The sequence below is a fragment of the Homo sapiens genome, chromosome X (genome assembly GCF_000001405.40).
Source record: "Homo sapiens chromosome X, GRCh38.p14 Primary Assembly".
NCBI lineage: Eukaryota > Metazoa > Chordata > Mammalia > Primates > Hominidae > Homo > Homo sapiens.
Window position 1 is genome coordinate 110,224,062 of NC_000023.11, and position 23,642 is coordinate 110,247,703.

Sequence of the window (23,642 nt, forward strand, 5' to 3'; positions counted from 1 at the left end):
CTCAATAAGTAGTGGCTGTCAAAGAACTCTGATTGATCATCCGTCTGTCCACAGGGCTGCCCCATATTATGGCTCTGGTGAAAGAAAGGGAGCCACAGGACTAAGCTGTGCTGTGGGAAGAACTAAACAAGTTATCTTCTCTAGGAATTAAATGTGGCCATCTCGGGGGATAATGACTACCTTTCCAGGTTCTGGTGTTTTCATTTCATTTTCTTTCATTTTCAAAATAAGTATTAAACACCCACTATTTGCTTTTTATTATGCAAAGAGCCATGGAGAATATAAGAATAGATTACTAAATAATATATGGATATGTATAAAATACGTGTTAAAATCATGCTATAGGACTGCTGAGAGGAATAATCAGAGCAGGTTAGCGCTCTTTTTGAAAAGATCTGTTTTACAATATGCTACTGGTTTACTGGTTACCAACTGACTCAGAGTTACAGGGAGTTTTACAGAAATAAAAAAAAGATATATATATATTTTTCAGAAACAAATCTACATCAAGTAAGGTACATCTTCATCAAGAGTTTCCATTATACTGCAGGCAGGGATTCATATGCTGCTTTGAAACAGTTTCTTAGTTTTCTTGAACTACAGTTTTTAAATCTTTTGGGCAGGAATTGTTCTTTTACTTCTGTAGAAGAAATGTTTATCAGAAATAAAGTTCCCTAAATCATGTTTGATGGATTTAGATATATTACTCTCTATCCTACTATTCATACTATAGCAAAATCCTTAGGTAAAAAACAAAACAAAACAAAACAAAAACAAGAAAAATGATTTCTAAGCAGCAGATACAGAATGAGAGATGAGAGATTCCATAGGCAGCAACTGCTTTCCTCATTTAAAATAGCAGTCTCCAAGCTGTTTTTTTTTAAAATTAGTTTTTCGTTTTTTAAATTAAAAAAAATCCATAGAATCCCTTCAGAACTGCAGGACATGTCCTCACTACCACATGGGGATTGGCTGACAATGTCGTCTGTCATCACCAGGATCCAAACAGTTTTGATTGAGTATTCTTATCACTAAAAAAAGTTTGAGCACACATCCTCAATATGTATATTTATAAAGTATATACTTGTACTACTATGACAGGCTAATATATCAAAGCATGATACTTAGAGTAGGCTTTGTTATTAAAGACAGTGAGTATAAATTAAATAATGCTCTTGATCCTTTCTTGTTTTGGGGCTGACATCTTGTCAGATTTGATTAGATTATTTTTGTTTTCACTTCATGACTTGGCTAAATTAAGAGGAAACTCATAGAAGTGTCAGCTAGTTCACCATTTTCTTGCCCTTGCATTATCACTGTTATCATCAGCCCATTTTTTTCCTTGCAGGAATCTTCCTAAGCCACTTGTCCATTCTGCGTGGGTTAGTTTATCTAGCTTTAACTGACCTACACACAATAGTCAAACAGCTTAAGAAGATTCCTGCAAAGAAACCACAGGATGAAGATTATATAGGTTGGAATATCCCTTATTCAAAATGCTGGAGTCTAGAAGTGTTTCAAACTTGGGATTTTTTTGTGATTTGGGAATATCTGCATTATACTGGTTGAACATCCCAAATCCAAAATTCTGAGATCTGAAGTATTTCCTTTAAGCGTTACATTGGTACTCAAAAGTTTTGGATTTTGGAGCAATTCAGATTTCTGGATTTGGGATGCTCAACCTGTACTAAGAACTAGAAATCTACTTAACTAGGTACATGTAAACTGAAATATGTTACAATATGCCTAAAGTGAGCAAAAGAATGTGCATGCCACCATGAACTCTCACCAAATCAAGAAATCTCACACTTTTCTCGGGATCCCTCATTTAGAGTATATGACAGTGACTCTCCAACATGGACCAAAGGAGAGCATCAGGGTCAATCCACATGTTAAACATTAGTGGAGTTTAAATACTTTCTTATATTTTATCTAAAATGATATAAATAGACTTTCTAATATTTTTATCTCACCCCACAATGAATCCTTCAGGTGCATCCCTCTTTGGATGGCCTAAAGCTCCTCATCAAGCTCTAGAAGACTGGTCCTAAGATATTTAGACATGGCACTATGAGCAAAAGCAGCTTAAAATCTCAGAAAGCCAATATCTGCTAAGTACCTACTGTGAGTAAGGTACTATACATGCATTAAGTTGTTTAGTCCTCAAAACAACTCCATTTTGTAGAGGAAGAAGCTGAGGTTCAGTGATGATCAGTGAGATTAAGTAACTTGCCAATGGTTCTAAAAACAGGTAAGAGAGCTGGTCGGGCGCAGTGGCTCATGCCTGTAATCCCAGCACTTTGGGAGGCCAAGGCAGGCGGATCACGAGGTCAGGAGTTCAAGACCAGCCTGACCAACATGGTAAAACCCCATCTCTACTAAAAATACAAAAAAAATTAGCCGGGCATGGTGGTGGATGCCTGTAATCCCAGCTACTCAGGAGGCTGAGGTAGGAGAATCACTTGAACCCAGGAGGTGGAGGTTGCAGTGAGTTGAGATTGCGCCACTGCACTCCAGCCCAGGCAACAAAGTGAGACTCCATCTCAAAACAAAAACAAAAACAAAGAAACAAAAACAGGTAAGAGAGCTGACATATGAAATTAGGACCGCCTGCCTCTAAATCCCATTCTCTTTTCATAGTACCACTTTCAGAATGTCAGCAAATCAACATAAATGTATATACATTTAATCAGTATTAAGGAATTTTTCCCCAATTAATGCTTCCGTTCATAGGATTTAACTGAAAGTATTAAGTATAAATGTGAGCAGGTTCTGAAAATGCCTAAGAAAAATAGTACCTTTTTAATGAAAGTGTTAGCTTGTTTTTGTTCTCTTCTTTCTCCATTTTGATCTTGGTGACTCAGAGCTGCTACCATTGAAAAACATCTGTTTTATCTAAACTTAATAAGCCTTATTAGTGGGATGCTAAGCCTTCCCTTATTCCGAAGCCCTTTCCACAGTTTGAAACTTAATCTGCTGGAAGTCATAATAGGTTACCAAAGTACTAGTTTTGGACATATCTAGGCTGGTGGGCCTGTTTCTGATTTTTTAATTTTGCTTTTCCAACCTGTATGAATAAGCTCTCTCATACTCAGTACACGAGTCATGCAATTCTTTTCCTTCCCTCTTTCCATGGCAATCAAATCTATTAATTGAACTCTATAAACTGCAAAACATGTGTTGTCACTCTAACTTATGTGTCATGTCAGGCTGGTTCAGCTGTCCTTTCTAAAACTACTGCCAGTCCTAGATGATACAAGTCTGCTGAGAGGCAGGATACTGGTTCCTATCATGCGGCCTGTTTATAATTTTCTGCATATGTCACTGATCGGGGACTAAAGGTAACTAAAGAAAAGAATGAAGTCAAACTTAAAGATGAGGTACAAAGTAAAATTATCAAGTCCGTCATACTGAGAAGGAGAAAGAGAAAGAGAGGAGCCCAACCTTCCCCACTACCTCATTGTAAAGTTTTTAATCTTTATTTTCCTTTCTCTTCTTCCTTTTCCCCACCTTTTGTATGCGCTCCTCTTTTCTACTCTAGTAAGGTAAGGAAGAAAGAATAGTAAAAGGTCACAAGAAGGACATGAAAGAACAGAATGGGGGTGGAGGAAGAGAAGAGGACCACAAAGACAAAGGCATACGGCAGCTGCCTTCACTGCTACCTAGTGCTGGCGAGGCCAAGTCTGACAAGCCAGTATGCAAGGCGGCCTCATGTTCTCATACTCTGCTATTGGGTCAAGATGACCCATTCCCTTCTGTACAGGTTTTAATGTTCTATTCTAACTTTCGTGGAGTGGATGGGTGATAGTGACAGAGAAAAGAACATGATCCACTGCCTGTTTCTTTCAAACTTGACAAGCACAAGGGGGATCAGGAAGAAAAGTAGAATACCTCATCCCCAAAGCCTAGCTGCCTAACCAATCAATCAATGTTTATTGAATCATTCCTTGATCTGTGTGCTTTTAAATGGCATATTTCTCTATGGTAAGTATAACTGCATGTCTGTTCTTATGGCCTCTGTAATTGGCCTCACATTCATTTAAATGGAATTACTTTAATTTTTATCACTATATGGTATCTTTGGAGGAAAGAATCTTTTAAACTACTCGTATCATTTTTGTTTTATATGATTCTTAATAGTTTCCAAAGCATCTTCACATCTTTTATCCTAGCTGAAACTCAAAACAGCCCCATGAAATAGACAAAGCTAATACTACATTATATTAGAAATCATAATAGGTGTCCTCCAAGAACAAGGCCCCCTAAAGTCATGGGGTCAAGCAAATGTCAGCTAGAAGCGCTTAGAGATCATCTAGTCTACATCCTTCATTTGATTTTGGGGATAACTAAGAGCAAAAAGCTGCATGCCCAAAGTCACAAAACTACTTAGAAATCAGTGACATCTCCTGACTTCCCCAATTCACTGATCTTTCCATCATTCTTTCACATAATCCAATAACACTCCAGAGCAGATGTTCAAGATGCAAAGAGGAAAATGATGCCTAGGGCACCAGGGAATAGCTAAAACAGTGAAACAGTGAGCTGCCCAACATAACTCAGCACTGACAGGCACCTGGCACGTGTCAGCATGATGAAGCCAAGCAGAACTTATAAATTAAGCAGATAAGGGTGGGGGAGCAGCGGAGCACCAACACTATGTGTGTGTGGAGAATGCAGTCTTAACTATTGTCTTCCTCTGCGTTTCTTATCCACTCCACTCCCTCCTCATCTTGCTTATACGCTCCTAGTAGGGGCTGGTCTCACCTCGCAGTTCATCCATTCTGTCCCATCATTTCTACTTAGCTGCTGAGCTACATAAAGGATTATTCAAGGGAAAGGCTATACATTTTTAAAATAGAGTATTTGGTTCTCTTTTATCAAACTCTAAATAGAGAATCTGTCCCTATTGTAAAAGCAACTGTATGTTCTGGTTGTGCGTGTATAACTACAAAATTGTTCAGGGCAAGATAATCTCAACATTCGTTTTCAAGTAAATAGCACAATGACATGGGTAGATTCAGTTCAGGTCAAATATGTGATTCTTGATGTACTGCTAAAGTCTCATACGTTAAGCAAACCTACTTTCCAATCTCAACTTGGAACAGGTTTTACTTTACTCCTTTCAACAAACATTTTTAAAATTAGCCTGATAAAACAGAAAAGGACATTTTAACTCTTCATCTCTTGTCTGGTCATATCTTAAGAACCTAGTTTTCAAAGAAAAATTTTACTTGTATAGGTTTCCATTCTATTACCCTTAAAAGTTATTTAATTCTCCCATTGAAAAGGTCCTACTTTACTTTTGTTTCCATGAGATAAGCACATGGGGTAATAAAATATGTTGGAAAAGCTTCAAAATGTGCTGCTGAAATAGTGGCAATTGCTGATTCTGTACTATGCTACATATTAGGAACACCACAATAGATACAGAAAGGAAATAGCTTCATTTGAGGATGAAAAAAGGGCAATGGGAGTTGCCAAGATGGCCGAACAGGAACAGCTCCAGTCTGCAGCTCCCAGCATGACCAATGCAGAAGGTGGATGATTTCTGCATTTCCAACTGAGGTACCTGGTTCATCTCATTCGGACTGGTTGGACAGTGGGAACAGCCCACGGAGGGCGAGCTGAAGCAGGGCGGGGCGTTGACTCACCCGGGAAGCGCAAGGTGTTGGGGGATTTCCCTTTCCTAGCCAAGGGAAGCCGTGACAGACTACCTGGAAAAGCGGGACACTCCCTGCCCAAATACTATGCTTTTACCAAGGTCTTAGCAACCGGCAGACAAGGTGATTCTCTCCCGTGCCTGGCTCGGCAGCTCCCACGCCCACGGAGCCTTGCTTACTGCTAGCACAGCAGTCTGAGATGCATCTGCGAGGCGGCAGCCTGGCTGGGGGAGGGGTATCCGCCATTGCTGAGGCTTGAGTAGGTAAACAAAGCAGCCAGGAAGCTCGAACTGGGCGGAGCCCACCTCAGCTCAACAACGCCTACTGCCTCTAGACTCCACCTCTGTGGGCAGGGCACAGCTGAAGAAAAGGCAGCAGACAACTTCTGCAGACTTAAACATCCCTGTCTGACAGCTCTGAAGAGAGCAGTGGTTCTCCCAACACAGCGTTTGAGATCTGAGAACAGACAGACTGCCTCTTCAAGTGGGTCCCTGACCCCCGTGTAGCCTAACTGGGAGACACCTCCCAGTAGGGTCCAACAGATACCTCATATATGCAGCTGCCCCTCTGGGACGAAGCTTCCAGAGGAAGTATCACGCAGCAATATTTGCTGTTCTGCAATATTTGCTGTTCTGTAGCCTCCGCTGGTGATACCCAGGCAAACAGGGTCTGGAGTGGAACTCCAGCAAACTCCAACAGACCTGAAGCTGAGGGACCTGACTGTTAGAAGGAAAACTAACAAACAGAAAGGAATAGCATCAACATCAGCAAAAAGGTCATCTACACCAAAACCACATCTACAGGTCACCAACATCAAAGACCAAAGATAGATAAAACCACAAAGATGGGGAGAAACCAGAGCAGAAAAGCTGAAAATTCTAAAAATGAGAGCACCTCTTCTCCTCCAAAGGGTCACAGCTCCTCACCAGCAACGGAACAAAGTGGGACGGAGAATGACTTTGACGAGTTGACAGAAGTAGGCTTCAGAAGGTCGGTAACAACAAACTTCTACGAGCTGAAGGAGGATGTTCAAACTCATCGCAAGGAAGCTAAAAACCTTGAAAAAAGATTAGACAAATGGCTAACTAGAATAAACAGTGTAGAGAAGACCTTAAGTGACATGATGGAGCTGAAAACCATGGCACGAGAACTTCGTGACACATGCTCAAGCTTCAAGAGCCGATTCAATCAAGTGGAAGAAAGGGTATCAGTGATTGAAGATCAAATTAATGAAGTAAAGCGAGAAGACAAGGTTAGAGATAAAAAAGTAAGAAACAAACAAAGCCTCCAAGAAATATGGGACTATGTCAAAAGACCAAATCTACGTGTGATTGGTGTACCTGAAAGTGATGGGGAGAATGGAACCAAGTTGGAAAATATGCTTCAGGATATTATCCAGGAGAACTTCCCCAACCTAGCAAGGCAGGCCAACATTCAAATTCAGGAAATACAGAGAACGCCACAAAGATACTCCTCGAGAAGAGCAACCCCAAGACACATAATTGTCAGATTCACCAAGGTTGAAATGAAGCAAAAAGTGTTAAGGGCAGCCAGAGAGAAAGGTCCAGTTACCCACAAAGGGAACAGCGGATCTCTCAGCTGAAACGCTACAAGACAGAAGAGAGTGGGGGCCAATATTCAACATTCTTAAAGAAAAGAATTTTCAACCCAGAATTTCATATCCAGCCAAACTAAACTTCATAAGTGAAGGAGAAATAAAATCCTTTACAGATAAGCAAATGCTGACAGATTTTGTCACCACCAGGCCTGTCTTACAAGAGCTCCTGAAGGAAGCACTAAACGTGGAAAGAAACAACTGGTACCAGCCACTGCAAAAACATGCCAAATTGTAAAGACCATCGATGCTAAGAAGAAACTGCATCAATTAACAGGCAAAATAACCAGCAAACATCATAATGACAGGGTCAAATTCACACATAACAATATTAACCTTAAATGTAAATGGGCTAAATACCCCAATTAAAAGACACAGACTGGCAAGTTGGATAAAGAGTCAAGACCCATCAGTGTGCTGTATTCAGGAGACCCATCTCATATGCAAAGACGCATACAGGCTCAAAATAAAGGGATGGAGGAAGATCTACCAAGCAAACAGAAAGCAAAAAAAAGCAGGGGTTGCAATCCTAGTCTCTGATAAATCAGATTTTAAACCAACAAAGATCAAAAGAGACAAAAAAGGCCATTACATAATGGTAAAGGGATCAATGCAACAAGAAGAGCTAACTATCCTAAATATATATGCACCCAATACAGGAGCACCCAGATTCATAAATGAAGTCCTTAGAGACCCACAGAGAAACTTAGACTCCCACACAATAATAATGGGAGACTTTAACACCCCATTGTCAATATTTGACAGATCAACGAGACAGAAGGTTAACAAGGATACCCAGGACCTGAATTTGACTCTGCAACAAGCAGACCTAAGAGACATCTACAGGACTCTCCACCCCAAATCAACAGAATATACATTCTTCTCAGCACTACATCACACTTATTCTAAAACTGACCACATACTTGGAAGTAAAGCACTCCTCAGCAAATGTAAAAGAACAGAAATCACAACAAACTGTCTCTCAGACCACAGTGCAATCAAACTAGAACTCAGGATTAAGAAACTCACTCAATACCACATAAGTACATGGAAACTGAACAACTTGCTCCTGAATGACTACTGGGTAAATAACTAAATGAAGGCAGAAATAAAAATGTTCTTTGAAACCAATGAGAACAAAGACACAACGTACCGGAATCTCTGGGACACATTTAAAGCAGTGTGTAGAGGGAAATTTATAGCACTAAATGCCCACAAGAGAAAGCAGGAAAGATCTAAAATCGACACCCTAACATCACAATTAAAAGAACTAGCTGGGCACCGTGGCTCATGCCTGTAATCCCAGCACTTTGGGAGGCCAAGGTGGGCAGATCACAAGGTCAGGAGATCGAGACCATCCCGGCTAACACGGTGAAACCCCATCTCTACTAAAAATACAAAAAATTAGCCGGGCATGGTGGTGGGCGCCTGTAGTCCCAGCTACTTGGGAGGCTGAGGCAGGAGAATGGCGTGAACCCGGGAGGCGGAGCTTGCAATGAGCTGAGATCGCGCCATTGCACTCCAGCCTGGGTGACAGAGCCAGACTCAGTCTCAAAAAAAAAAAAAAAAAAAAAAAAAAAAGAACTAGAGAAGCAAGAGCAAACCAATTCAAAAGCTAACAAAAGGCAAGAAATAACTAAGATCAGAGCAGAACTGAAAGAGAGAGAGACACACAAAAAAACCCCTTCAAAAAAATCAATGAATCCAGGAGCTAGTTTTGTGAAAAGATCAACAAAACTGATAGACCGCTAGCAAGACTAATAAGAAGAGAGAGAAGAATCAAATAGACGCAAGAAGAAATGATCAAGGGGATATCACCACCGATCCCACAGAAATACAAACTACTATCAGAGAATACTATAAAAACCTCTATGCAAATTAACTAGAAAATCTAGAAGAAATGGATAAATTCCTGGACACACACACTCTCCCAAGACTAAACCAGGAAGAATTTGAATGTCTGAATAGACCAATAACAGGCTCTGAAATTGAGGCAATAATTAATAGCTTACCAACCAAAAAAAGTCCAGGACCAGATGAATTCACAGCTGAATTCTACCAGACGTACAAAGAGGAGCTGGTACCAATCCTTCTGAAACTATGCCAATCAATAGAAAAAGAGGGAATCCTCCCTAACTCATCTTATGCGGTCAACATCATCCGGATACCAAAGCCTGGCAGAGACGCAACAAAAAAGAGAATTTTAGACCAATATCCTTGATGAACATCAATGCAAAAATCCTCAATAAAATACTGGCAAACCGAATCCAGTAGCACATCAAAAAGCTTATCCACCACGACCAAGTTGGCTTCATCCCTGAGATGCAAGGCTGGTTCAACATATGCAAATCAATAAACGTAATCCATTACATAAACAGAACCAATGACAAAAAACACGATTATCTCAAAAGATGCAGAAAAGGCCTTCGACAAAACTCAACAACCCTTCATGCTAAAAACTCTCAATAAATTAGGTATTGATGGAACGTATCTCAAAATAGTAAGAGCTATTTATGACAAACCCACAGCCAATATCATAATGAATGGGCAAAAACTGGAAGCATTCCTTTGAAAACTGGCAGAAGACAAGGATGCACTCTCTCACCACTCCTATTCAACATAGTGTTGGAAGTTCTGGCTAGGGCAATCAGGCAAGAGAAAGAAATAAAGGTATTCAATTAGGAAAAGAAGAAGTCAAATTGTCCCTGTTTGCAGATGACATGGTTGTATATTTAGAAAACCCCACTGTCTCAGCCCAAAATCTCCTTAAGCTGATAAGCAACTTCAGCAAAGTCTCAGGATACAAAATCAATGTGCAAAAATCACAAGCATTCCTATATACCAATAACAGACAAACAGAGAGCCAAATCATGAGTGAACTCCCATTCACAATTGCTACAAAGAGAATAAAATACCTAGGAATCCAACTTAGAAGGGATGTGAAGGACCTCTTCAAGGAGAATTACAAACCACTGCTCAACGAAATAAAAGAGGACACAAACAAATGGAAGAATATTCTATGCTCATGGATAGAAAGAATCGATATCGTGAAAATGGCCATACTGCCCAAAGTAATTTATAGATTCAATGCCATCCCCATCAAGCTACCAATGACTTTCTTCACAGAACTGGAAAAAAACTACTTTAAAGTTCATATGGAACCAAAAAAGAGCCTGCATTGCCAAGACAATCCTAAGCCAAAAGAACAAAGCTGGAGGCATCACACTTCCTGACTTCAAACTATACTGCAAGGCTATAGTAACCAAAACAGCATGGTACTGGTACCAAAACAGAGATATAGACCAATGGAACACAACAGAGCCCTCAGAAATAATGCCACACATCTACAACCATCTGATCTTTGACAAACCTGACAAAAACAAGAAATAGGGAAAGGATTCCCTATTTAATAAATGGTGCTGGGAAAACTGGCTAGCCATATGTAGAGAGCTGAAACTGGATCCCTTCCTTACACCTTATACAAAAATTAATTCAAGATGGATTAAAGACTTAAATGTTAGACCTGAAACCATAAAAACCCTAGAAGAAAACCTATGCAATACCATTCAGGACATAGGCATGGGCAAGGACTTCATGACTAGAACATCAAAAGCAATGGCAACAAAAGCCAAAATAGACAAATGGGATCTAATTAAACTAACGAGCTTCTGCATGGCAAAAGAAACTGGCATCAGCGTGAACAGGCAACCTACAGAATGGGAGAAAATTTTTGCAATCTACTCATCTGACAAAGGGCTAATTAATATCCAGAATCTACAAAGAACTTAAACAAATTAACAAGAAAAAAACCACCCTGTCGAAGGGTGGGCAAAGGATATGAACAGACACTTCTCAAAAGAAGACATTTATGCAGCCAACAGACACATGAAAAAATGCTTATCATCACTGGTCATCAGAGAAATGCAAATCAAAACCACAATGAGATACCATCTTACACCAGTTAGAATGGCAATCATTAAAAAGTCAGGAAACAGCAGATGCTGGAGACGATGTGGAGAAATAGGAATGCTTTTACACTGTTGGTGGGAGTATAAATTGGTTCAACCATTGTGGAAGACAGTGTGGAGATTCCTCAAGGATCTAGAACTAGAATTACCATTTGACCCAGCCATCCCATTACTGGGTATATACCCAAAGGATTATAAATCATGCACAAGTATATTTATTGCAGCACTATTCACAATAGCAAAGACTTGGAACCAACCTAAATGTCCATCACTGATAGACTGGATTAAGAAAATGTGGCACATATACACCATGGAGTACTATGCAGCCATAAAAAGGGATGAGTTCATGTCCTTTGCAGGGACATGGATGAAGTTGGAAACCATCATTCTCAGCAAACTATCACAAGGACAGGAAACCAAACACCACATGTTTTTACTCATAGATGGGAATTGAACAATGAGATCACTTGGACACAGGGTGCGGGACATCACACACCAGGGCCTGTTGTGGGGTTGGGGGCTGGCAGAGGGATAGCATTACGAGAAATACCTAATGCAAATGATGAGTTGATGGTGCAGCAAACCAACATGGCACATATATACCTATGTATCAAACCTGCACGTTGTGCAGACGTACCCTAGAACTTAAAGTATAATAAAAAAAAAAGAAAACAAATACCTTCAGGGGTAATATTTCTAGCAGTTAGGACTAGAAAAAAAAAAGAAAAGAGAAAAGGGCAATGGATAAAATCTATGCAATTTAAATTACAGTCATGTGATAACAGCTCTGCTCCCCATAGTGACAAAACTTTTCACGAATAAGTAGCAGTCCTAATGATTACTGATATGAGGGCATAACTATGAACATGAACTATTTCAACAAATATGTATTGAGTGCCTGCTATGTGCCAAGCACGAGTATACATCCAGGAGCATGCTACATTCAATTTCAATGCTGTGGAACACCTTGTTTCATTGAAGTTTTACTACACTACAATACCATATTATACGAGTTACTCAAAGCACCTAATGAGAAGTGCAAGTCTTATAAACTAAGTCACATTCCAGAAATAAAAAACAAAAAAAGAAAAAAAAAAGAGGAAGACACCTAAACTCACAAGGTCTTATTACTTCTTAAAGTTCATGGATACTAGCCTATCTCTAGAAATCTACCAGGCTAAGCAAAACCCTATAGAAATCCAAATTAAAAACTAACTTTTGGACTCTTTATCCCCATGTATATGTTATAGGTATAACTTTAGCTCTATGAGTATGGTGACTGTGCTCATTTTTACTCACCATTATATACCCAGTGCCTAGCACACAGTAGCTGGTAAATAAATATTTAGTGAATGAATGAAGGAATATAGGAAGGTAGTTTCAAATTTAATAAAGTTATTGGCAGTATAACAAATATTAAATGGCATTACTGGTTATACTTTATTAAATGGTCAGTGTTCCCCTACATTCAAAATATCCTTTTAAACTGTTCCACTGAAGTGTGTCTTCCCCTGTTTTTATTTATTTAATGCTGTTCATTTAGAAGGTGTTAACTGTTCTTTTTAGTCTTTAGATTACTGTACATTCAAAGTACAGCAAAGTTTGGCAACATTTTTCTATCTAAAACTCATAGACTGCTATAAATAGATAAAAACATAATTCCATGATAAAGTTACAGAATTGCTTTGATCTCCCAGCCTCTATCACCCCCCTGGAAAACACACATAAACTCTGCATCCTGAAGGAGCTCCATTGCTTCTTATATGGGGCAATTAATAATAATATTTTATTGCAGTTTGAAACACATAGGGACCCATATTACTAGTCTATTTTTATGCTTTTCTCACCTTCTTATAAAGGAACATCTTATGAACTGGATGAATCACAGGACATCAAGGGCAGGCATAGAAAAAAGAAACATAAGATAACGGACTCTTTAGATGAACATGGGCCTAAAGAAAATCAGATATTAGTACACAAATTTTTTTAAATCCTCCAAAAAAATCCAGTGGCCACTCTTCCTGTTCTCTGTGGGATTTCAGGTTAGTAAGCAGTCTAGGGGGATGGAGGACTTGTTGAAAATCAACCCTCTGAAGCAATGAGAATTATCTAGTGGGAGAAGGGCTGACTCTAGGGAAAATGGGTGGAAATGGTGCATGCCTCGTGGGGCTGTCAGGGTATTTGTCACCTAAGAGGTTCTTACAACTTACCCGACTGATGGGGGTTAAAGTATTACTATGCACCAGCACACATTCTCTCAATCACATTAGACTTTAAAATTCCAAGGTCTGGTTTGCCTTTTACAAGGAATAATATTGGTTTAGAATGCTGCTCAAAGCCTGCTCCACAAATCTGAGAGACCAGGTTATAGCACCTCATTTTCCTTTGCCACTGCCATGTCCTCACTCTCCCCTCATGTAACTAAAAACCACTTCTTAAACTTTGGTAAACAACATTAAGGAAACTGAGAGAATGCTTTCTGCAGACTTAACTTTCCTGGAAATAATTATCAATGATGGAAAACAAGCTCTTCATAACAGAATAAAACCTCATTAATTTGAACTCTACTATTTCAAAATTTGTGCTAATTCAAACAGACCTAGACTGAAAGTTTTCCTTAGCAAGTTTGGAAAAGAAGGGTCTGCTAAGCAAATCAACTTTATAATTAAGGTTGTAAGGGAAATACAGGACTTGCTTAAAGAGAATAAATTATTTCCAGGATTCTGGAATTAACCATCTACAGGCACTGTAACATCATAATTACAAATCTTTTGTGTAGTATGTTAAAAAGCAGGTCTCTGGGGGACTTCTACTTGGTAACACTCCATTAGCCCATTCTGAGTTATTGTTGTCACTAACACAAGCAAATCGGTGTCACTAAAACAAGCAAAACTACTTTTTAAATAAATATTTCATTCATTCTTTATTGAGTATACTGGGCTTCCTGCAATTATTGTGAATTTGAGAGCTTTTACTTCCATGTTGGTGTTGCTAGATCCTCACCTACAGTCTTTGTCATGCTCAAAGATCTCTAAGTATAAATCTTACAGTCACTAATAACTGAATCAGAAATATAGCTCAAGCCGAGTAGGCGGTTTTCCCCTCACAGTGTAAACAAAGCCGCCAGGAAGTTCGAACTGGGTGGAGGCCACCGCAGCTCAGCAAAGCCTCTGTAGCCAGACTGCCTCTCTAGATTCCTCCTCTCTGGGCAGGGCATCTCTGAAAGAAAGGCAGCAGCCCCAGTCAGGGACTTTCAGATAAAAATCCTATCTCCCTGGGACAGAGCACCTGGGGAAAGGGGTGGCTGTGGGCACAGCTTCAGCAGACTTGAATGTTCCTGCTGCCAGCTCTGAAGAGAGCAGTGGATCTCCCAGCACAGTGCTCGAGCTCTGCTAAGGGACAGACTGCCTCCTCAAGTGGGTCCCTGACCCCCGTGCCTCCTGACTGGGAGACACCTCCCAGCAGGGGTCGACAGACACCTCATACAGGAGAGCTCCAGCTGGCATCTGGCGGGTGCCCCTCTGGGATGAAGCTTCCAGGGGAAGGAACAGGCAGCAATCTTTGCTGTTCTGCAGCCTCTGCTGGTGATACCCAGGCAGACAGGGTCTGGAGTGGACCTCCAGCAAACTCCACCAGACCTGCAGCAGAGGGGCCTGACTGTTAAAAGGAAAACTAACAAACAGAAAGGAAAAGCATCAACATCAACAAAAAAGATGTCCACACCAAAACCCCATCTGAAGGTCACCAATATCAAAGACCAAAGCTAGATAAATCCACAAAGAAGAGGAAAAAACAGCGCAAAAAGGCTGAAAATTCCAAAAACCAGAACGCCTCTTCTCCTCCAAAGGATCACAACTCCTCGCCAACAAGGGAACAAAACAACAGAGAATGAATTTGATAAATTGACAGAAGTAGGCTTCAGAAGGTGGGTAATAACAAACTCCTCCAAGATAAAGGAGCATGTTCTAACCCAATGCAAGGAAGCTAAGAACCTTGAAAAAAAGTTAGAGGAATTGCTAACTAGAATAACCAGTTTAGAGAAGAACATAAATGACCTGATGGAGCTGAAAAACACAGCATGAGAACTTCGTGAAGCATACACAAGTATCAATAGCCGAATCATCAAGTAGAAGAAAGGATATCAGAGATTAAAGAACAACTTAATGAAGTAAAGCATGAAGACAAGATTAGAGAAAAAAGAATGAAAAGGAATGAGCAAAGCCTCCAAGAAATATGGGACTATATGAAAAGACCAAATATTTTTTGATTTGATTGGTGTACCTGAAAGTGACAGAAAGAATGGAACCAAGTTGCAGAACACTCTTCAGGATATTATCCAGGAGAACTTCCCTAACCTAGCAAGACAGGCCAACATTCAAATTCAGGAAATACAGAGACCACCACAAAGATACTCCTCGAGAAGAGGAATCCCAAGACACATAATCATCAGATCCACCAAGGTTGAAATGAAGGAAAAAATGTTAAGGGCAGCCAGAGAGAAAGGTCGGGTTACCCACAAAGGGAAGCCCATCAGACTAACAGTGGATCTCTCGGCAGAAACCCCACAAGCCAGAAGAGAGTGGGGGCCAATATTCATTCAACACTCTAAAAGAAAAGATTTTTCAATGCAGAATTTCATATCCAGCCAAACTAAGCTTCATAAGCAAAGGAGAAATAAAATCCTTTATAGACAAGCAAATGCTGAGAGATTTTGTCACCACCAGGCCTGCCTTACAAGAGCTCCTGAAGGAAGCACTAAATATGGAAAGGAAAAACCGGTACCAGCCACCACAAAAACATACCAAATTGTAAAGATCATTGACACTATGAAGAAACTGCAACAACTAACGGGCAAAATAACCAGCTTGCATCATAATGACAGGATCAAACTCACACATAACAATATTAACCTTAAATGTAAATGGGCTAAATGCCCCAATTAAAAGACACAGACTGGCAAATTGGATAAAGAGTCAAGAATCATTGGTGTGCTGTATTCACGAGACACATCTAACATGCTAAGACACACATGGGCTCAAATAAAGGTATGGAGGAATATTTACCAAGCAAATGGAAAGCAAAAAAAAAAAAACAAAAACGGGGGGGGGAGGGTTTGCAATCCTAGTCTCTGATAAAACAGACTTTAAACCAACAAAGATTAAAAAAAAAAGACAAATAAGGGCATTACATAATGGTAAAGGGATCAATGCAACAAGAAGAGCTAACTATCCTAAATATATATGCACCCAATACAGGACCACCGAGATTCATAAAGCAAGTCCTTAGAGACCTACAAAGAGACTTAGACTCCCACACAATAATAGTGGGAGACTTTAACACCTCACTGTCAATATTGGATCAACAAGACAGAAAATTAACAGAGATATTCAGGACTTGAGCTCAGCTCTGGACCAACGGAACCTAATAGACATCTACAGAACTCTCCACCCCAAATCAACAGAATATACATTCTTCTCAGCACCACATAGCACTTATTCTAAAATTGACCACATAATTGGAAGTAAAACACCCCTCAGCAAATGCAAAAGAGCAGAAATCATAACAAACAGTCTCTCCAACCACACTGCAGTCAAATTAGAACTCAGGATTAAGAAACTCACTCAAAACCATACAACTACATGGAAACTGAACAACCTGCTCCTGAATGACTACTGGGTAAATAACGAAATTAAGGTGGAAATAAATAAATACGTTCTTGGAAACCAATGAGAACAAAGACACAATGTACCAGAATCTTTGGGACACAGCTAAAGCAGTGTTTAGAGGGAAATTTATAGCGCTAAATGCCCACAGGAGAAAGCAGGAAAGATCTAAAATTGACACCCCAACATCACAATTAAAAGAACTAGAGAAGCAAGAGCAAACAAATTCAAAAGCTAGCAGAAGATAAGAAATAACTAAGATCAGAGCAGAACTGAAGGAGATAGAGACATGAAAAACTCTTCAAAAAAAAATCAGTGAATTCAGGAGCTGTTTTTTTGAAAAGATTAACAAAGTAGATAGACCGCTAGCCAGACTAATAAAGAAGAAAAGAGAGAAGGATCAAACAGACACAATAAAAAATTATAAAAGGGAGATCACCACTTATCTCACAGAAATACAATCTAACATCAGAAAATACTATAAACACCTCTACGCACGTAAACTAGAAAATCTAGAAGAAATGGATAAATTCCTGGACACATACACCCGCCCAAAACTGGAAACCATCATTGTCAGCAAACTAACACAGGAACAGAAAACCAAACACTGCATGTTCTCACTCACATGTAGGAGTTGAACAATGAGAACACATGGACACAGAGAGGGGAACATCACACACCAGGGCCTGTCGGGGGGTGGGGGCCTAGGGGAGGGATAGCATTAGGAGAAATACCTAATGTAGATACCTTGGGGGTACATCTAGCTGTAAAATAGGGGGAAGGGAAAAAAGGCTTATGCCCCTGAGGTTATAGACCGACACACAAAAAAAACAAACATAATAAAAAGCCAAAACAACAGCTAAAATTCTTTGGAAACCTGTAAGTTAAGTACTAAACATATAATCATTATGAAATAAATATCTAATGCAAACCCAACAAAGTAGCATCATTGTCCAAAGGAAGCATTCCTGGAGGTTGTTACTCCTCACACATCTATACTGGCTCTCACTTCACTAGCACAGGGCAGTCTTCCAGCTCTCCACAACCACTCCCTCTGCAAGCATGGCTCACTGCCTAGGAGTCTTAGTTACCTTGTCACAAAGAGAGCCTAGCTACTCTAATTATATTGTAAGCTCCTGGATTTGTACAGGTTTCCCTTACTGTAAGACACAAAACTTGCACATCATCGGTGCTCTACAAATTTTGCTTGGTTTGAGGTGATAAGACTCCTCCTTTACATATACAGAATTGTAAATCAGAGCAACAATATAAAAAAAATGGCTGTAAGATTTCTTGTTTCTATAGAAACCTTCAAAATATCAGAACTACCAAATGTGTTTTCTTAAGAACATTTGGTACAATAAAATTGATAGGTATCCTTTCAAAGGCCTATGCAAGAATACTGAATAAAATAATCATAGGTCAATGTTCCAACAAAAGTGAAATGCTAGCCAGTAAGTTTCGTATGGGAAAAAAATCTCCAAAATAGTATTGGCCAAGAAAGTCACCAAAAATCTCTCCTCTCTTTTAAGATGTTATGTCTCTTTATATGCTGGGTTAATCATATTTGTCATCTCTGTATCATCAGTGTTAATCAGGAGGAACAAGAGGGCCCACAAGTCCAAACTCATCTACAACTTGACACCCTAAGCTTGTGACTCTTTAAATGAGAATTTTGCTTTTTAAATTATGGCTTGACTTGGGCAAATATTTAAGGTAATCAGCAAACATAGGGCACAAACCAACTGCTGGGGCAGAGGGAGGCAGCTCTGAGTTATTCCAGTTAGGTAACATTTTTCTATAGAATATTATACAAGTTATAATCCATACTGGGATAAAACTAAGCATTGACTACTAATTTTCTAAATAAATACTAAGAAATAAATGTAGTCATAAAACAATTTGGACACTTGTCTGAAATTGTTTCACTACTCAATGCTAGGCTATTACAGTATATTAGCATTAAAATACATGTTTACAATTGTTATTTGAAATGGTTCTTTCTAATAATGTGTACAATAGCAACCGCCCTGTCATTTTCACTGAATTTCAGAGCTTCTCTTCCTTTCAGAAAATACAAGTCAACGTCTGTACCAAAGGAACCATCTAAATTGTTTTGTGGTACTAGCTATTCATTTTCACTGCATTATATGAATGTTGCTCAAAACTGAGTGATCCCAGAAGATAGCTGGAAATGTTAATTCCTTTGTTAATGTAAATTACTACAATGAGAACTGGACTCTGCCTCCAGGAAACCTTCCAGCCACCTAGCTTTGAGAGTCTGGGCAAGTCAAAGAAGCCAAGGTGTCACAGGGCATTCCTACACACATTGCAGAGGACCCTTTGGATACAGTTACACCAACCTAAGAGTTTCATAGTTAGGACATCACTCAGCTACAATATAAAAACAACTCTTGTAAATTGGAATCATATTCCCAAACATCTGGAAAATTCCCCAAAGGAGAAAAGATTACCCAAAAGTATTGCTAAATAGATGGAAGATGCTGATTTTTATCATAATCAAAATTCAGTCAGTTTCCATTGTACTAGACAAATCAACAGATGTGTTGTTTACCTTTAAAGATGCCTGGAATCTATTTTAATTCAGCCTTGAAACCCAGACATTCTTAGGTAATAAGAACAGATATTTAAATTCCATAACAACCGCCCAATGTTTACAAACATTTATTTCTTTATAGATTTCTTATCCACAAAATGTATTTTTGGTTAGAAAGAAGTTTGAGGATTCAGCTGTATTTTCTAAGCTTTGCTTTGTGGCATGGCCTAAGAGAAAATAATGATATCAAGGGTCTTTTCCAACTATTTTATTTATTTTAATTTTAAATAAAATATTTAATAAGATACAATGTATAATAATGTATTACTCTATTTCACTCTCACTACCATATCCTGAAAGCAAACAATTTTCAATAAATTCTTAATTTTAAAAAATCTTCAACATTCAAATTCAGAAAAAGATAATCTAGGATTAATTAAAAATTACTTTCACATTAAAAATGACTCTTTAACAAACAATGTGTCAAATGTGCTTCTTGTCTTGTGTTGCCTATCACCTTTCATCTTATCATCCTCCCCCTGCCCCATCATCTAAGAAGGAACCTTTGAAGCCATCTTCAACTCTTCCCTTTAGCTTACTTTCCACAAGTCTCATCTTGTTCAATTACTACCTTGTCTCTGTTATATGTTTCTTTACATCCCTCCTGTTACTAACCTAATTCAGGCCTCTACCATCTTTCATTTGGAATATTTAAGATTAGCTTCATAACTGCTTCTCTAATCTCTATCCTTTCCATTCCATCCTATATATTAATACAAGCAGCCCGAGTCAGGGTAATAGTAATAGTCAGGGATGTAACTTGGGCTGCTTGTATATATTTCTCTTCTCATATATATTTCTCTGTCTCCTTACATTTGGCTCAGGAAGTTTTCTGGATGCATAATGAATATCTTCTCCATATCCCCACTTTTGAATGTTGAAATTGAGTCGTATATGTCCATAGAGGTTCGGCTTACATGTCAGCTAGTCAGTAAAACCTTCCCCAATCTATCCAACTAGAGCTAATTTCTCCCACTTCCAGTAGCATTGTTTCTACATCTAATGCAGTTATTTTGTGTACATGCCAATTTCCCTCAAAAGACATCACTCAGCTCTTGAGCACAGACATCATGTACTGTTGATCTTTGTAGCTGCATAGTACCTAGTACAGTACCATGGTCAGAGTTAAGTGCTCGATAAATGTGGAATTGAACTGACTAAACCTTATGTCAGCCTGATATAAATGAGAAGGAAGACTGTCAGGATTTATAATAAGTTATGTATTTAACTACAGCTGTGTTGTTATAATTGCTACATATTTAGAGAAAACACTGAATGTATCTTTCAATCAAGCTTTGAAACTATAGTGACTATTCTAAGTTTGAATTATCTTATATAGAACAGCAAGAACACTCAAATCTGTAGGACATAATGCCAGTGAAAAAAGACCTTTTACAGTAGATTCAGCTGTACAAGTTCAACCAATAAACCACAAAGGCCATATTTTTTTAAAAAGCCAGAATATAAAGAGGGCAATAGTAAGCATATTAATGAAAACCAGCTAGGAGACACTGGATAGAGCTCACTACTTCTGAATCAGTCACTGCTCCTTGCTGCAGCTGGATTTGGATCTTCTCCCACTGAAGGGCTGAGTAGATGTGATCCCACTTAATTTCTAAGTCTGACAAAATCACAACTTGGAAGTGGCCTGACTACTGGCAATTGTTAAGCACAGTAAATCCCTTCTCCTTCTGTAACCCCCTCAAATGTCCTGCATTCACAACTCTTTTATACCAGATGTTTTGTTGAAATTAACACATTCCTATCAAATGCATATCAAAAGGACTTTTCTCCCTACTGCAATGGAGCTTTATTATATTGAGCATTCCATTTAACCTCCAAACTGTTTATTTGTTACATAGACACTTATTGTATAGTATTTATTGCAGGGGGAATGACAAGGGAAGCTGGGCTCAGCATAAGGTGGGATCCATTCAGGAGCAAATATTCCCACAGTTAATGATAGCAAACAAAAGCCCTTAGAAGACACATCTCAAAAGGACTTTTAAAAATTTGCTAAATACAAAATCTCCCAATCTCTAGCCCAAATCTTCTTCTTTGTGAAAAAGAGGTGAGGTACTGTTTTGTTTGTTGAATGCAAATTTTATTTTTGTATCAAGCAGAATCAAGCATAATTAACTAGATAATAAATGGCAGGATGTGAAGCTATGACCTAGGATTGCTCACCTGAAACTTTGGTCCTCCCAAAGTTTTCAGCCATCACAGAAAGATCATTTCTGACAAGCCATCACTCACTCACTAAACCTTTGTAGGACCAGGAACTACAACCGAAACTTCACAAAAATGACCATCTCTCTCGTAGGGATTTAAAAATAATATATGGACAGTAGTGCTACTGTGAATAAAATGTCCTTCATAAAACAATTTTAATAAGCAGCCCTCATGGCACCTCTTCTTATAAAGTGATTGTAAATTGCAATTGTCTGCTAGAAGTAATATATAGGATGTTAAATAGCATCCCCATTTCTTTTCCCCAGGCTATTTCTGTTTCTCATCTCATTTGTACAATTAGTACATATAGATTCTTCCATGGGAGCACATCTTAAACTTGTATTTCAACTGTTTCATTTTTATAATAGCACAACTTAATAGGTGTGATTAGAATATCTAAATATCCCATAAGAATTGAGTGTTCCTATCCTTTATTAAATGAAAACTGATCCAGTTATAAAACAAGTGAGTAAAAATTTCCTTGATTTAAAACTATAAATAGAAAACAAAATGCAGATACATCTCACCATTCCTAAAAATAAAAGTAAATCACCTTTGCAAATTAATTTTATTTTCCTATGACTTATACTTTCAGAGATGCTTTAATCTTCATTTCTCACTTCCTTTGCATAGGCTGTGGCTCCTAACACTTTCTTTAATTATCTTACCCAGCTAGTAAACAAATACCTCAGTATACTAGGGGAAATGACTCTCCTATTCAAACATTTATTTTGCTCTATGCCTAATCCCTCATAGCTACTTAGGGGATGCAAAGATGTGAAAAATATAGTTCAGGTCCTCAAGGGACTACCAATCTAAGTAGGAAAGACAATCATGTAAGAAACTACATTGGAAGGCAAGATAAAGCAAGTGCTGTAACAGAGATACCAGTAATGTGTTATGAACATACAAGGGAAGAAACAGTAACTCTGGGGAGTTAGGAAACATCACTGGGTGAGTCCTTTGGGAAATAGAAGAAATCTGCAGTGTAAAAGTGTAGAGCCATGAGCATTTACTAGTTTATTTGCTTTGAATTTTTTAAACTTTTTGGAGGGTTTTCTTAGTCTTGAACTTAAAATGGGCTACACTATAGGCAAGAAACAGAATAGCAGCAATCAACTCTAACATTCAGCTACTTAGCAGAATTTCTGCTTTACCATGTCCCATTACTCTTTCCTCCTGCTTCTCTGGCTTATGACAAAAATGACACTTAAATACACTGTGCACCATCACTGACATCCCAAAGACTAAAAATGTTACTCATTTCTGAGCTAGCATCTACAGCTCTTTGCTGGTTTCTCTTCAACTACATCATTAATTTGCCATTTTGCCATGATCAGGTATGTGGGACTTGAATATGTGAAATAAAAACTTCTTACTGTGGCAAAATTCTTTGAAAACCTATTAGGAAACACGTGACATGGGCTGCGCATGATAGCTCACTCCTGTAATCCCAGCACTGCGCATGATAGCTCACTCCTGTAATCCCAGCACTTTAGGAGGCCAAGCCAGGTGGATAGCTTGAGCCTAGGTGATTGAGACCACCTTGGGCAACATGGTGAAACCCCGTCTCTACAAAAAATACAAAAATTGGCCATGTGTGGTGGCTTACACCTGTAATCCCAACACGTTGGGAGGCCGAGGTGGGCAGATCACTTGAACCCAGGAGTTGAAGACCAGCCTGGACAACATGGTGAAACCCCGTCTCTACAAAAAATACAAAAATTAGCCAGGCATGGTGGCTTGCACCTGTAATCCCAGCTACTTGGGTGGCTGAGGTAGGAGAATCACTCGAGCCCTGGAGGCACAGGTTGCAGTGCGCCCAGAGGGCACCACTGCACTCCAGCCTAGGCAACAGGAGTGAAACCCTGTCTCAAAAAAAAAAAA

At 39.0% G+C, this 23,642-nt stretch overlaps 1 protein-coding gene and 1 non-coding gene across 4 annotated transcripts in view, besides 1 other annotated feature; both read right to left on the reverse strand.

Annotated features, from left to right (window-relative positions):
* The window catches only part of AMMECR1 (AMMECR nuclear protein 1), a 246,048-nt gene that overhangs the window by 29,876 nt on the left and 192,530 nt on the right, over positions 1-23,642 (reverse strand). The window lies entirely within an intron of this gene.
* Positions 928-999, reverse strand: SNORD96B (small nucleolar RNA, C/D box 96B). The gene has a single exon (NR_004379.1). It is a non-coding gene; the product is annotated as a small nucleolar RNA, C/D box 96B (small nucleolar RNA).
* Positions 20,954-21,503: an enhancer, noted in NCBI's record as "NANOG hESC enhancer chrX:109488243-109488792 (GRCh37/hg19 assembly coordinates)". NCBI's record gives its function as "activates a minimal SCP1, AML or CMV promoter by ChIP-STARR-seq in naive H9 embryonic stem cells {active_cell/tissue: H9 hESC(naive)}" and the evidence as "EXISTENCE:reporter gene assay evidence [ECO:0000049][PMID:30033119]".